Source organism: Homo sapiens, chromosome 4, assembly GCF_000001405.40.
Source record: "Homo sapiens chromosome 4, GRCh38.p14 Primary Assembly".
NCBI lineage: Eukaryota > Metazoa > Chordata > Mammalia > Primates > Hominidae > Homo > Homo sapiens.
Genome location: NC_000004.12, coordinates 3,853,166 through 3,868,127, shown reverse-complemented (window position 1 = coordinate 3,868,127; position 14,962 = coordinate 3,853,166). Strand labels below are relative to the sequence as shown.

The 14,962-nt window shown below is 57.8% G+C and overlaps 7 annotated features.

Annotated features, from left to right (window-relative positions):
- Positions 2,362 to 3,302: an enhancer, noted in NCBI's record as "H3K27ac-H3K4me1 hESC enhancer chr4:3866553-3867493 (GRCh37/hg19 assembly coordinates)". NCBI's record gives its function as "activates a minimal SCP1, AML or CMV promoter by ChIP-STARR-seq in primed H9 embryonic stem cells {active_cell/tissue: H9 hESC(primed)}" and the evidence as "EXISTENCE:reporter gene assay evidence [ECO:0000049][PMID:30033119]".
- Positions 3,303 to 4,244: an enhancer, noted in NCBI's record as "H3K27ac-H3K4me1 hESC enhancer chr4:3865611-3866552 (GRCh37/hg19 assembly coordinates)". NCBI's record gives its function as "activates a minimal SCP1, AML or CMV promoter by ChIP-STARR-seq in primed H9 embryonic stem cells {active_cell/tissue: H9 hESC(primed)}" and the evidence as "EXISTENCE:reporter gene assay evidence [ECO:0000049][PMID:30033119]".
- Positions 4,245 to 5,186: an enhancer, noted in NCBI's record as "OCT4-NANOG-H3K27ac-H3K4me1 hESC enhancer chr4:3864669-3865610 (GRCh37/hg19 assembly coordinates)". NCBI's record gives its function as "activates a minimal SCP1, AML or CMV promoter by ChIP-STARR-seq in primed H9 embryonic stem cells {active_cell/tissue: H9 hESC(primed)}" and the evidence as "EXISTENCE:reporter gene assay evidence [ECO:0000049][PMID:30033119]".
- Positions 5,187 to 6,129: an enhancer, noted in NCBI's record as "OCT4-NANOG-H3K27ac-H3K4me1 hESC enhancer chr4:3863726-3864668 (GRCh37/hg19 assembly coordinates)". NCBI's record gives its function as "activates a minimal SCP1, AML or CMV promoter by ChIP-STARR-seq in naive and primed H9 embryonic stem cells {active_cell/tissue: H9 hESC(naive and primed)}" and the evidence as "EXISTENCE:reporter gene assay evidence [ECO:0000049][PMID:30033119]".
- Positions 9,116 to 9,616: an enhancer, noted in NCBI's record as "H3K4me1 hESC enhancer chr4:3860239-3860739 (GRCh37/hg19 assembly coordinates)". NCBI's record gives its function as "activates a minimal SCP1, AML or CMV promoter by ChIP-STARR-seq in primed H9 embryonic stem cells {active_cell/tissue: H9 hESC(primed)}" and the evidence as "EXISTENCE:reporter gene assay evidence [ECO:0000049][PMID:30033119]".
- Positions 12,709 to 13,426: an enhancer, noted in NCBI's record as "H3K4me1 hESC enhancer chr4:3856429-3857146 (GRCh37/hg19 assembly coordinates)". NCBI's record gives its function as "activates a minimal SCP1, AML or CMV promoter by ChIP-STARR-seq in naive H9 embryonic stem cells {active_cell/tissue: H9 hESC(naive)}" and the evidence as "EXISTENCE:reporter gene assay evidence [ECO:0000049][PMID:30033119]".
- Positions 14,145 to 14,863: an enhancer, noted in NCBI's record as "H3K27ac-H3K4me1 hESC enhancer chr4:3854992-3855710 (GRCh37/hg19 assembly coordinates)". NCBI's record gives its function as "activates a minimal SCP1, AML or CMV promoter by ChIP-STARR-seq in naive H9 embryonic stem cells {active_cell/tissue: H9 hESC(naive)}" and the evidence as "EXISTENCE:reporter gene assay evidence [ECO:0000049][PMID:30033119]".

The following is a 14,962-nucleotide window of genomic DNA, read 5'->3' as shown; positions in this document are numbered from 1 at the left end:
ACCGTGAGCAAGTAAGCTTCTGTTCTTTATAAATCACCCAGCCTCGGGTATCCTTTGTAGCGACACAAGTGGACTGAGATAGGCAGCTGTCGTTCAGCAGCATTTACTTTGTGAAGGCACTGGAAGCCTTTCCACTTTAGCACAGAAGACTTCCCAGGGGCCACAGCAGGTGCACACTTGTGCAGCCGACAGCGGAAAGGCAGAGATGAGTTGGCCAGTCACTGGGTGTCTTCCCCATGATGCTGGGGGCCCCTGGAAGGCAGGGCCAGCGCCTTGTCATCTCTGTACCCAGTGCCTTTTCTAGAGGAAAGGGACAATATTAGAGATTCGATGTTTTCCAAGGCAGAAAGTTCCCGAACGTATTGCAGGAGGCTTGGACTCTGCTCCTTAACAGCCAGTGTGTCTGCAGCAGCAGCTGCCCACAGTGGGGGACATGTCCCAGCCAAGGGCTGCAGAGTCCTCACAGCAGTGCCTCCTCGCCTCCAAGGCCTGGCTGGCAGGTCAGCCCGAAGAGGCTTCCAGACTTCCCCGGGCAGGATGGGCGGCACCGCCTGTGTCCCTGCCCCTCTCACCTGCTACCTTGCATCCTGGTGCTATGGCCATCACCACAGACAGGCTTACTCCCCGAGGACAAGGGCCACAGCACAGCCCTCTCCCTCACTGATTCATCCACACGTTTGTGGAGGCTGGCTCTGAAGGCCCTGGACTGCTCACCTCCACAGGGACCAAGTCTCCCTCCCACCCTGAGACCAGCCCAGGAGGCCCTGAGGCCTTCAGCCAGTATACTGGGTGGATAATGTCCCCCTCATTTCATGTCTCTCCTGGAACCCCAGAATTTGCCCTTCTCCGGAAACAGGGAACTGCAGGTGTAATTGGTTCAGTTAAATGAGGCCCTGTTTGAGTAGGGTGGGCCCTGAACCCACATGACTGGTGTCCTTAGAAGGGGGGAAGAGGCATGGACAGGCAGGGAGTGTGCGGGGCCAGTGGGGGCAGAGACCAGAGTCCTGCTGTAGCCTGCAGAGGCTGGAAGAGGCAGGAAGGAGCCTCCCTGGGGACTGCAGAGCCACCACAGTCCTGCTGGCACCTGGATCTCGGGCTTCTGGCCTCCACAACTTGGGGAGAAGCAGTGTCTGTTGTTTGAAGCTTCAGTTTGTGGGACTTGGTTTTGGCGGCCCCAGGACACGAATCTGGCCGGCATCCGTTGGAATGAGTCTATCTGAGCAGACAGAGCGGCCCCAGCCTTGCTGGCCTCCCGTTCCCGCAGCCCATTCTGTGTTCTGCCTCCCCACTCTCCTGCCGTTTTTCTTCCCATCCCTGCTGTCCCTCACATGGGGGCCACCACGCTGGACCACTGCCTTACCCTCCTGTGTCCACGTCCGTGGTGATGGAGGTGGCTTAGCAGTGAGTCCCCATCTCAGGGAATTCAAGCCAGGCTGGAAGGGGGATGACTGAAGGTCCTTTGCAGCCTGCCAGGAAGGCTCTGAGAAGTCAGGCCCAGCCCTGGGCTCCCCATGGAGCTGCCCACTCCCCTCGGGGCTACCCTCCTCCTCACCGGGGAAGATGAGGCCTTGATCCCAGAGCTCCGGGGGCCCATCTGGACTCCACAGTGGGCATAATTATCACCTGAGTTGTAATATTCTAGCCAGGATTCAGCCTTCCCCTTGCCTGTCCAGCTCACCAGCCCCGCCTTCAACCCCTACTGGGCCTGCGTCACCCCCACCTCTGGGTCAGCCCAAGATGCTCCTGGCCCTCCTGACAAAATCTCCATCTCTCAGCCTGGCATAGCTCTTGCCTGCCTGGGTGGCTGTGACTTCCATTTGGGCTGCAGGCATCACGCTGCTTTCTCCACCTGAGGCACACCTGCCACCCTTGTCCACCCAGATCACACCTCCCACCCTCGTCCACCCAGCTCACCCCTCCCACCTGCGACCACCCGGATCACACCTGCCACCCGTGTCCACCCGGACCACACCTCCCACCTTCGTCCACCCGGGTCACCCGTCCCACCCGTGACCACCCAGATTACACCCCTCCCACCAGCGTCCACCCAGATTGCCCCTCCTGCCCACGTCTACCCGGGTCACCTCTCCCACCCGTGTCCATCTGTCCCACCCGTGTCCACCTGTCCCACCCGTGTCCACCTGTCCCACCCGTGTCACCTCTCCCACCTGTGTCCACCTGTCCCACCCGTGTCACCTCTCCCACCCATGTCCACCTGTCCAGCTTTCACAACTTTCTTTCAGCTTGGGAGCTGTAATGTGTAGAAAACCTTCCTGTCCAAATGAGCTCTGACTGGCCCTTAACACAGTGGCCTGCAGCTTGGGGAAACAACTCCAGGTGGCTATGCTGGTGGGTGCTGGGCATCGGAGTGGCACGGGCAGCCTGTCTGGTTGGGGATAAGACAAGCATAAGGGCAGGATGGGCCTCAGGAGAGGGATTTGAAGGACAGGCAGGCTACCTCCTCTGGAGCATGATGCTTATTCTGTGTTGCCTGGACTGGATGCAGAGGACAGTACCCTGGGTGGGACGCCTGGACCTGCCACCCAGCTGTCACAGCCACAGCCACAGCTCCAGTCATCACAGCCACAGCTCCAGCCGTGTTCCCCCAGGGAAGGGCAGGCGAAGTTGCTCCCTCCTTTCTCCTGTGGGCAGATGGAGCCCTGTGCTCCTGCCGCCCCGGTGAGTACCTGCACAGGAAGCCTTGTGACGACCTCCCCGAGGCAGTGGGTGGGGGGCGGGGGCGCTTTCAGAGCTGGCACAGGCTGCCCTGGAGGGAGAGGGGTGTCTTCAGGGCCTGGAGCCTGCCCTGGTGAGGGTAGCCTCTGGGCCATGGGCTGCAGGAGCTGAGAGCCATGACGGCCCCCTCCCCACGCTGGCACGGCCGGCACAGCGCAGCACTGCCCGGCAGCAGGGAGGCTGGAACCCCAGACACTCATCTGGCCTGCCCCTGGACCGTGGCTACCTGGGCCCAGGCAGGGAGGTGGGAGGCAGAGACGGAGTGCAGGCCCCTCCACAGGGCCTGGGTGGCCCCGCCGCCACAGCCGGAAGGTGGGCTCAGCACTCAGCTGTGATCTCCCTGGAGCTCAGGGAGGCCATATCAACCCTAGAGCGGGGACCCCAGGAAAGGAGAACCACCTGCACCCCACGCCTTGCAGAGTCCCGGCCGGGCCTCTTCCTGCTCCAGCTCGGGCTCCCGGAGACGGCTGCTGTAAAACCCAGGCTGTTCCCATCCTACAAACAAGGAAACAAACAGCACTTGGGTGTACTCCCATTTTAGAGACCAGGAAACAGACCTGGAGAATGAGGGGCTTTGGACCAGTGCTCCCCGGGGAGGGGTAAGGGCTGACTCTGGTCAGAAGTGGGGTCAGGGAGGTGGGAGGGGAGTGACCTGTGACCTTTGGGCACACGTGTCACCTGCTTCCTGGGAGGCCAGCAGGGCTTATGCTTTTTGGTTTTCAGGAGAAGCCGTAAGGACCAGAGGGATTGAGTGACTTGCCAAGGTCGCACAGCAAGGAGGTGTGGGATCGGGCAGCTCTCCTTGTTAAGGCCGCTCCCGGGGGCTCTGTCATACCCCTGTCACCCAGCCCAGGGCCGCGGATGCCCATGGCCTTGGCCTCCCGGGGGGCATCCCTTGCAGTCAGAGCCAAGTGCAGGCTGCTCACTGAGTGGCCTGCAGGGCAGGTGTCAGCGCGGGCGGGAGACAGGGCTGACCCTCTTGGCAGAGCAGAATCAGCTTCGTCCAAGCCGGTGGATTAATCACAGGAATGAAGATTGATCTCCAACGTGCCTGGCCTCGTTACTCATGTTGGAGCTTGCAGATGAGAGGCTTCCGGCTCCACGCGGAGCTGTGACCCCCCAGGGCGGGAATGGTTCCCATTCTCTCCCATCTCAAGTGCAAAACCAGGAAGCCTGCATGCCAGGCAGAGGGACCCCTGGGGACCCTGACACACGAGGACTCTGGGGTCCTGTGTCCCCTTTCTGACCCACACAGAGGCGGCCTCCGCTTAGTCACAGCTGCCTGCGACCCTCCAGCTTCATCCCCAAACCCTGCCCACCGGGGCCCTGCCATCCTGGTGTAACTCTGACAGTGCGAGCTTTCCGGGGGTTGTGGCAAGGCTGTGAGGTGTGGACCCCCTAGAGATAGTTGCATTTAAGAAAGATCAGCTGGCCGCCTGTTAGGACAGCTACCATGAAAAAGACAGGAGATGTGGGCGGCGAGGGCCTGCAGAAAATGGGAGCCTTGGACATTGCAGCTGGGAATGTGGAATGCTGCGGCCGCTACGGCAAACAGAGCAGGGGACCTAAAGAAATTAAAAAGGGGACCACCCTGGGGCCCAGCAATCCCACGTCTGGGTGTATACTCCCAAAATCAAATCGCCACCTCGTAAAGATGTCTGCCCTCCCAGGTTCACTGCAGCACTACTCACCATGGTAAGTGTCCATCGATGGACAGATGGTAAACCGGGGCGTATATTCACAATAGAGTGTGATTCAGCCTTAGAGAAGAGGAGACCCTCCCATTTGCCACCCTGTGGATGGACCTGCATGCCTACAGCTCTACACCCTGCACCCCTGAAGCTCCTGCTCCAGTCTATTTTTATACTCGCCCAGGAAGGCACCCCCACAGGCACATAGCCATCCAGTCTGCGAGGAGGGCTGGGAGCAGCAGAGGGGTGTGTGCTGCCCCTTCGTCTCTCCTCCACTTGAGAAAAAGCTTGGCCCAACTTGGCAGATGACTTGGATAGACGTTACCCTCTGGTCATAGCCCTGCCCAGTGGCCTCTCCTGCTCTCAGATGGTCCCTTCCTGAAGTCACTGGCAGGGGATGGAGAACACCCAACTAAATCTGGCCCTGCTTCGAGAAAGAGGGGTGGGGCCTGCTGGGACCTAGATGCCCGACAAGAGTGCTGGCTGTGCCTGGGACTCTGGCATTGGTGGAGGACAGGGGAGCAGACCCTGCCAGCCCTGCAGGGTGGGCCAAGGTGGGCCGCAGTTCCCAGGCCACCCAAGCGGGGTGGGGTGTGGGGACAGGGGGAGGCTGTGCCAGCTTCCACCCCCATCTCTCCCTCCCCACCCCCACCTTTTGCAACCTCCCATGGTCTTGGGTTCCACGGGGAGCCACAGTCTGGGCTGTTCTCCGAAGCTGGACTCATTAAAGGAAGTGTTCTCATCGGCACTTTTCCAGCCCAGACGGTGGCAGCTTTAATATCCAGCAGCACAGCCTGGGGGCGGGCCTGCTCCTGCGGCTGTGAAGGGCCTGCGTCCTCCTACAATGGAGAGGAAATGAAACGCGAAGATGTTTCCCCCTCGGAACAATGGCCCAGCAATCAACCATCGGAGGGCCAGAGAGGTGCACTGGCCGAGGCAGGTGGGGTGAGTGGGCGGACCCAGGCAGGCAGCAGCTCCGCCCAACCCGCCTCCTCCTCTGGGAAATGGGAGCAACACTGGGGGAGGAGGCGATGGCCCAGCCCCGCAATGCGCATTAGCTCCGAGCCCTTGAAAAGGAAGCCATGAGTGAGTGGTGGTCACTGGAGCTGTCGGGGTCGGGAATAGCCAGGATTTCTTGAGCCAGCTCTGTGTCTGCTTTGACACTGAGGGGTGCACGGGCAGCAGTGGGGGCAGAAAGAGGAGGGACGCTGGGTGGGCAGCTGTCCAGAGGAAACTCCATCCACTGTGGATCAGACAAGGGCCTCTGACCCGCAGGAGAATGTGTGGCATAGTGGCAGGGGCCTGAGGTCGGAGCCCCAACTCAGCAGCCACCGGAGCCCTGGGGCAACTGACCAGCAGTCTTTCTGGGTTTAGTGACTGCATGCATGTGAGTGTTAAGAATGTGTGTGTAAGAGTGTGACAGAGTAAGAGCGTAGATGTGAAAGAGTGTGTATTTGTGACTGTGAGTGTAAGGATGTGTGTGCGTCAGTATGAGTGTGCATAAGAGTGTGCACATGTGAATGTAAGTGTATGTGTGACTGTAATAGTATGTGTGTAAGCATGTGAGTGTAAGCATGTAAGAGTGTGTGTAAGACTTAGCATGAGTGTAAGAGTGTGTATTTGTGTGTGAATGTAAGAATGTGTATGTGTGTAAAAATGTGTATGTGTGTGTGAGTGTAACTGTAAGATTGTATGTGAAAGTGTAAGGCTGTGTGTGTATATGTAAGTGCATAAGGATGTATGTGTGTAAATGTGTGTAAGACTGTGTATGTAAGAGTTTGCGTGTGTAAAAGTGAGTGCATGTGTATGAGTGTAAGTGTGGGTGTGAGTGTAAGTGTGTGTGTAAGAGAGTGTGCATGTGTGAGTGTGTGAGAGTGTGCACGCTCATAACAAACTCCAACAAGGTCAGAGGGAAGCCTGCTCCTCCCACCACACAGCTGGCCCTGCCACCTGCCACGTCCACACCGAGCTCCCTGGACTCCTCTCCCTGAGGCCTTCATCACTGTTGGAACCCATGCTCCGCCCCTCTTCACCCCTTTTTGGTCCCAGGACTCTCTGGGTCCCCACCTGTCTCATCCCCTGCTCTCCAAAGCCTTCTTGAGGCCTCTGGGGTCCGTCCTCCATCACTGGCTACGTCCCCAGGATCCTCGACCCCCTCACCTTCTTGTCCCAAAAGAAACCTCCCTCGATGATGCTGTCACCTCAAGGGGCACTCGGCAAATGGGTCACCCCAACCCCGGGTCCCAAATCCAAGGCCCAGGCACCATGCTGGGGCCTCCCTCGCCGTCGCCCGCTTCTAGCCTCAAGATGCGGAGTCCTTCTGATTGGGCTCCCCGTGAGCACAGCCTCCACCTCTCCCCTCCACCCCCACACAGCAGAGGGAGGGACCTGAGCCCTTCGGGGTGGGGTGGCAGCCCCTGTTGACCCCAGGCTATGGTGGGGATTTCGGCTTTATTCTGCGTGAGACAAGTCCAGTGTTGGGTCTTCAACGGAGGAGGTGCAATCCCACGGACGTTGTACAGGATTCACAGGACTCCCCTGGCTTCGAGGTTAAACAGCCGGCAGGGTCTCCAGCGTGGACACAGGAAGGCTGGTCTGTTGCGACTCCTCGAAGCACAGTGGCCGCCCTGCTGGCTTTGGGGTTACACAGTGGCTGCCCCCCAGCTTCAGGATTAAACAGTGGCTGCCCCCCGGTTTCAGGGTTAAATAGCCGGCAGGGGCTCCGGGTTGGACACAGGGAGGCTGGTCTGCTGTGACTCCTCAACGCACAGTGGTTGAGAATCACCCATCTTTTTTAGTGGGTCGCTGTTTTGTGGGTCAAGAGTTCGGGAAAGGCTCGAGGGGCCGGTTCTTGCTTGGGGTCCCTCCCGCGGTTCCAGCCAGGTGTCCAGTGGGGTTGTGGTCATCTGAAGTCTCGTCTGAGCTTGATGTCCACAGTGGCACAGTCACGTGGCGGGCAGCTCTCCTGCTCATCAGATGGGAAGTTCGTGGGGCCGAGAACGGGAGCACCCACCATGGGCCTCTGCCTGGGGCTGGAGCTTCTCACAGCTCGAGGTCTGGGGGCAGCATTGCAGGAAGGAGCCTGGGCGCTCCATGTTCCCAAAGACCAACACAGCAGCTGCCAGGCGTCTTCGGACCTAGCCCTGAACGTCACACAGCTGCTCTCCAGCTACATGCGACTGGCGACTGGTTCCAAGCCAGGCTTCAAGGCCGGCTCAGATTCAAGGGGAAGGGGATTCGACCACACCTGTCAAGGAGGAGCTGCAAGACATGCACAGCCACCTTTTAAAACTGCCGCAGGAGACTGGCAGCATCCCAGAGTGGAGAGGACGCGGGTGTGAGCCAGGGAGGCGGCGGTGCAGGTGACGGAACCGGTCAGCGTCTGGATTTAGTTTGAAGACACAGCCTGACTATGCCTGCTGATGGACCACAGTCCTCAGTCACTGGCTCCAGGGACCTGTGGGCGTCCCGAGGCCAGCTGGCGCTATCTGTCTGTGTGGCCAGCGCACAGTCACGCCCTGTGGGGTGAATGAATGAGAAGGGCTTCCCCTCCCCAGGCAGGTCCCTGGAGCACAGTGCTGGGCACTCAGCAATGCCAGGGAGGAGCATGCAACCCGGAGAATCAGGCAGGACCCAGCCTCCACGCTCTGGGGGTGCGGGGAGCTATGGGGGGAAGGGGAGCTGACCTCGTGCTTTCGCCAGGAGCTCTTTCTAGAAGCCAGGGCCAACTCCACCCCAAGGTGTTTGTGTGTGAAATTGGGGATGAGGCATATTGAATAATAGCGCAAGAAAGGGCATTACCAGCTTGCTCTTAGACCTCTAGCTGAACATGGGTGATGGTGCTAGGAACCGGCCACTGCCACACAGAGGGGCTCCAGCTGCTTCACCCGCTCACCCCAGTGGGTAAACGCAGCGGCCCAGTGCTCAGCACATACCAGGCGCTCAGCCTTGTCAGCTCAGAAGACGGAGCCCCGATGCTTAGCATATGCCTAGTATACAGCAGGTGCCAGGTGGATGCATCCCTCTACACTGAGCCCCAGTGTTTAGCCTGTGGCCAGTATACAGCAGGCACCAGGTAAATGTATTCCTCAAGACTGAGCCCCAGTGTTTAGCCTGTGGCCAGTATACAGCAGGCACCAGGTAAATGTATTCCTCAAGACTGAGCCCCAGTGCTTAGCCTGTGCCTAGTATACAGCAGGCGCCAGGAGGATGTATCCGTCAAGACTGAGCCCCAGTACTTAGCACATGCCAAGTATACAGCAGGCACCAGGTAAATGTATTCCTCAAGCCTGAGCCCCAGTACTTAGACCGTGCCTAGTATACAGCAGGCGCCAGGTAAATGTGTCCCTAAAAACTGAGCCCCAGTGCTTAGCCCGTGCCTAGAAGCCAGGTAAATATATCACTCAAGCCTGAGCCGCAGTGTTTAGACTGTGCCTGGTATATAGCAGGTGCCAGGTAAATGTATCCCTCAAGACTAAGCCCTAGTACTTAGCCCATCCCTAGTATACAGCAGGCGCCAGGTGGATGTATCTCTCAACACTGAGCCCCAGTGCTTAGCCTGTGCCTAGTATACAGCAGGCACCGTCTGGATGTATCCCTAAAGACTGAGCCCCAGTGCTTAGCTCATGTCTAGTATACAGCAGGTGCCAGGTGGATGTATCCCTCAAGCCTCAGCCCTAGTGCACCTGCCTAGGGCTCTAGTGTACATCCCTCAAGCCCATGCCTAATGTACAGCAGGTACCGGGTGGATGTATCTCTGAAGCCTGAGCTCCAGTGGCTAGCCCATGTCTAGTATACAGCAGGCGCTGGGTGGATCTATCCCTCAACAGTGACCCCCAGTGCTCAGCCCGTGCCTAGTATACAGCAGGTGCCAGGTAAATGTATCCCTCAACACTGAACCCCAGTGCTTAGCTCGTGCATAGCATACAGCAGGCACCCAGGTGGATGTATTTCTCAAGTCTGAGCCCCAGTGCTTAGCTGTGCCTGGTATACAGCAGGCGCCAGGTGAATGTATCCCTCAAGACTGAGCCCCAGTGTTTAGCCTGTGCTTAGTATACAGCAGGCGCCAGGTGGATGCATCCCCTAAGCAGCCCCAGGAATGCCTCGGGCCCAGACAGTGCTGGAGCACACACAGTGCAGGTGGCTGCAAACTGCTCCCTTCACTCACCTGGTACTGGCTGTGTGTTAACTGCTGGCCACTGGCTGCACAGCTGGGGCAGTCCAGACCCCCAGTCTAGCATCGCAGGGCTCTCTCTGGGCTCCCCGAGCCTCTCTTGCTCTAGCACTGGTCTCTGTTGAGGCAGGTGCAGATGTGAAGCTGTGGGGGATGGAGCCTTCCTAGTCCTGTTGTGGAAATTCACCTGCAACTGAGCCTCTCCTGGGTCAGCAGGTGGAGGGAGCCATACAATGCAAACAAGAAGGTACCTTCAGAAAAGGCTGTAATGGAGGAAAACAGTGAAAAGAGGCAGCAGCCAGGAGGGCTTCCTGGAGGTGGCACTGTTCAGGAAGGAGCTGTAGGACTGGAACAGCAGGCAGAACAGCATATGCACAGGCATGGGGTGGAGGAAACACTGTACTGGGTGGGAGTGAGGGAACCAGGGGGCTGAGAGAGTCAGGGAGATGGTGGTGCAGACACACCGAGGGCTGGCCTGTCACACAGGAGCACAGCACTGATGCAGAGGCATGGGAATTGTGCAGTGCCTGAGGCTGGGGGCTCTCTGCCACCCCTGAGCTGTCCCATGAAAAGCAGACAGCTGTTGAGTCTCTCTCCACCCTCCATCCTCTAATTTTTGCTACACTGAGGCCACGCCGATTTAATTAATTAATTCCCCAAATTACTGAATCAATACCTAATTACAACCACACACAATGCTGACAGCCCCGGAGCCACACTCTGCAATCACCGCTTTTACAGCAAGAAGCTGAGTCTCAGGGAAATGACATCACTAGCCCAAGCAGACGGCACCAAGATCTGTCTCCCAAGATGCTCAGCAAACCAAGAGGACAGAGGTGAAGAGTAGGAGGGACATGGGGCTGTCAGTTTGCAGTCCCTGCACCCCTGCACTCCTGCATCTCTGCACCCCTGCAGCTCTGCATCCTGCACCCCTGCATCTTGGCACCCTTGCACCCAGCACTACTTCAGCTCTGCACCCTGAACCCCGGCACCCTGCACCCCTGCGCCATAACCCTGCACCCTGCATGCATACAGCTCTGCACCCTGCACCCCTGCGTGGTAGCCCTGCACTCTGCACCCTGCATACCTACAGCTCTGCACCCTGCACCAGGCGCCAGGTGAATGTATCCCTCAAGATGGAGCCCCAGTATTTATCCTGTGCCTAGTATACAGTGGTAGCCCTGCACCCTGCACCCTGCATGCCTACAGCTCTGCACCCTGCACCCCTGAAGCTCCTTCTCCAGTCTATTTTTATACTCATCCAGGAAGGCACCCCCACAGGCACATAGCCATCCATTCTGCAAGGGGGGCTGGGAGCAGCAGGGGAGTGCGCACTGATCCTTCATCCCTCTTCCACTTGAGAAAAACCTTGCCCCAACTTGGCAGATGACTTGGATAGACGTTACCCTCTGGTCATAGCCCTGCCCGGTGGCCTCTCCTGGCCTTGCACCTGCTTGGTGACCAACTGCCTCTCAGCTGGAGAGGGTCAAAGGAAGACACTCAGAAGGAGCCTGCCTGGGAGAGCTGTGGGCCTCTCAGGAAGGGGACCCCAGCTGCTGCCCTTCTACCTCTGCTGCACCTCCCAGAGGAGACGGATCCAGCAGGACTGACCTGCTGCGGGGCTGCTGCTCTCCTGGAAGTCCTTGCAGAGCAGCAGCTGTGATGGGGGCAGGCCTGGTGGCCCCAGACTTCCCACCTCTCTTTCCTTGAGTCCCAAGACCCAGGCACTGGGGAGGAGGAGCTGAGGCATGTCGGGGGGAGAATCAGGAGCTGGCTTTGGAAGGGACAGCCTCACCATGAACTCCGGCTGAGGCTGTGCTGCTTTAGGGAAGGCGAAGGGTCCAGCCCAGCTCCCTAGAGCCATGTGCATGGACAGAGGACTCAGATGGGCTCCCAGCCTTCAGGGGCTCCCTGTCTCAAGGGCGAGCAATGATGGTGGCCTGGGCCTTTCACACATACCTGGCTCTGCCCCCATGGCAGCCCTGAAAAGGAGAGGATTATCACGCCCATCACAGATGAGGAAGCAAAGGCACAAACACTCCAAACAACTTGCCTGGGTCCTGCAGACAGGACATGGCGAGCTGGGCTTTGAACCCAGGCACCCAGCTGCCTCACTCCTGCAATAAGTGCCTGGGGTGATACTTGTTGTCCTTTGATTCTAAAACTCTGTCCCATGTTGTTTTAATTTTGCTAGAACATGGGTGTTTTCAGGTCCCCATGGCTGATGATCATCCTCTGCTTCCGAGTCCCTCTTGGTGTTTGCAGATGCAGGGCAGCTGCCCGGGCTCAGCTCACACACCATGCTCCACTCCTTATATTTGCCTTCGTCCGTGTCCATATTTTTTCCAAAAGGGAGACTGTTTATCGAGCACTTACAATGCGCTGATGTTGTTCTAGACACTTGAGAGACAGCAGTGAACAAAACAGGCGAGGCAGCCTGCCCCATGGGACAGTGGACACCCTGAGAGCGGGGACACAGTGGGCAATGTGAGTTCCCAGGCAGGGGTTGGGCTGGGAAGTGTGGGCGCTGGAACACTGGGAGATGGCCCTGCCAGGGCAACAGTTGAAGGCCGAGAGCAAGGGCATCATGGAGATGCTGGGGGCAGCAGAAGTGCAGGTGCAAAGGTCTTGAGAAAGCGGCACGTGACTGGTCTGTGGGGGAACTCCTGGGAGGCCGGTGGACGGGAGTGGAGGTGGGAAAGGGTCCAGGCGCTGGGGTCTGAGCACCCCTCGAACGGGAGGGCACTCAGTGAATGGGCACTCATGTTTGGCAATGAGCTGCTTTGAGAGTGCAGGAGCCCCTTTGGAAAATGTCCCTTTCAGAGACCACTAAGGACTCCTGAAGGAGGAAGGTGAGTGAGGGGCCAGGCAGGAGGGCCTGCCAGGGGGGAGGGTCAGGGCCCTGAGGCTCTGTGACCTAGAAAAGGTGGTAAAGAATTGTGTGCACCCACCTTGCACCCCCAGGGCTGGGCGTTGGGCGTTGGGCGTTGGTGGCGTTTCATTGATTCTAACTTCAAATCCAGGCTTCAGAGCCATTGTGTGATTTATCATCTGGGCTAGGTCAAGATCACATCGCTGAGAAGTGGCTGGATTGGGATTCAAACCAGCTCCACCTGACTCCAGCACCGGCTGTTCACTTGACCCTGTCCACCGTTCAGGGAAGAATCTCACCAGCTCCCTGGGCCTCAGTTTCCCCATCTACAGATGGTGAAACTCACAGGAGGTGAGGCCAAATACTCACTGAGGTCCCTTCCTCTCTGGCAGAGGGAGCAAGTAAGCACATTGTGGAGGAACAGAATAAAACACGGGGTATTTGGTCTCTCCCCCGATCCAGTGCCTGAGGAGCAGCCCAGCCTACCTACAATCATGCATGATTCAAATGCAAGCCTGCAGACGCACGGGAGCCTCGCAGCCTGCCAGATCCAGCAGCGAGCGCTCAGCACCGACAGAACCCACTTCTCTCTGGTTCCCGACTGGGCACACATTTCTATTTTGGTGTTTATTTTATTTATCTCATTAACTCCCTCCAACACCACAGCACAACCCTGGGAAGCGCTGACCTGCTGTCTCTTAGCAATAAGTGCCGGGCTGTCTGTGCAACCCAAGCCAGGCTGGTGGACGGGTGAGACCAGCTTCCCTCCTGCATGCTAGCAGCAGTGCTTGGACACAAAGCCCATAGCGACTGGTGCTGGCTCCTGCTGCTCCTGAAATGAGGTGTGGGGGCCACACCTCTGTGGGTGATCAGCATCCCCTGGCACCTCCGTGGGTGATCAGGACTCCCTGACACCTCTGTGGGTGATCAGGACCCCTTGGCGGTCTGTGCAGGGCGGGATGAGCCCCTCATCTTACAGAGGGGGATCCAAGGCTGAGGACCCATGGGCCCTGCCCCAGCTCCCAATCTGGGCAGGCGAGAGCCAGGACTGAAGCCTCGACCCTCGGGGTTCTTCCCCAAAGCTCCTCTTCTCCCTAAACTTGGGGTGCCGTGGCCAGAAGCCTGACTCAAGGACAGAATGTCTTGGTGCTGTCCTCCCCAGACAGCCCCACCACCCCCAGGCTGGAGCACCATGCATAGTCTCCCTCCCTGCTCTCTATAAAACCATCGTTTTGTTTCTGATTTAGAAGATACCATGTTCATTGCAGAGAATACTGGAAACACACATAACTATGAGAAAGCAAATAAAAGTCACCTGTAACCCCACCCCCTAGAAATGCCTGCCCTAGCTATTTTAGTTTGTGATTTCTAATCTTTCCAAATGCTCAGATCTCTACAAAGAGAGATGCGTGCATGGCTAGGCATACAGAAGGCACAGACACCCTCGACAGTTCCCTACAGGGGAGCCTGTGCTGTGGCGTGAGCCGCCCTTCAGTGTTGTGCTAGTCCCGGGTGCCCTTTGAGGCTGAGAGGCAGGAGGGCTTATGAGACCTCGTCCACTCCTGATCATCATTGCTGTTGGGAGAAAGAATGGCATTCCTACAGAGAAACAGATGCCCCACACCTCTGTCCGTCTGCTGTGTCACTCAGGAGATGATACACCAGCCCTCCCAGGACCAATAGGCGTGGAGTGTGATTGTGTGGAGAACAGTGCTGGCACTGGGCATGTGCGGCACAGAGCAGGTGCTCAGTAAACATCAGCAGGAGGCATGGTGAGTGAGGAGCCGTGTGAAGGAGGCAGGTGCTGAGGGGCTGGGGGCCGGGCAGGGCACTAGACCTCCCCCACCAAGTTCCTGCCCTGGGTGGGCAAGTGGGGCTCTGTGGCAGTGTCTATGATCTGGGTAGCAGAGGGGACTCTGTACCAGTTACCTACAGGCATGATAATTCTGCCTAACAAACAGCCCTGAATCCCAGGAGCATAAATATGCCTTCACTCAGCCCCTGAGTCTGCAGGGATCTGCTGGCCTGGGCTGGGATAAGCCGTAGGTTGGCCTGCGGGAGAGAGAGTCGCAGGGGGCCACTTCTGCCTGTCCCTGAGCCGGATCAACCCAGCTTAATCCATGCTGGCCTCCAGTTCAGGTCCTCCAGTGTCTCTTTCCCACTTTCCCTGCCTGAGCCCTGCTCTCTGCAGGGTCCTGTACCCTTGGACAGCCCCAGATACTCTGATCGGGGAGAAAAGTGGGTGATGGGCTCTGTTACACATAGGCCCTGGGGGTGATGGGAGAATTAACCAACTCATAATCTAACTCCAGGTAGAGCCCTACTTCTTTCTATCTGACTTGTTCTTTTGAAAAATTTCAAACCTATAGAATAAATGCTATCTACTCTTCTCCCCAATTCACGGATGGTCAACATGTTGCTACATGGCTTTCTACCTGTCCATATACATTTTGAAAGTGAGTTTCCTGTAAGTATCCACTAAAGCCCAGG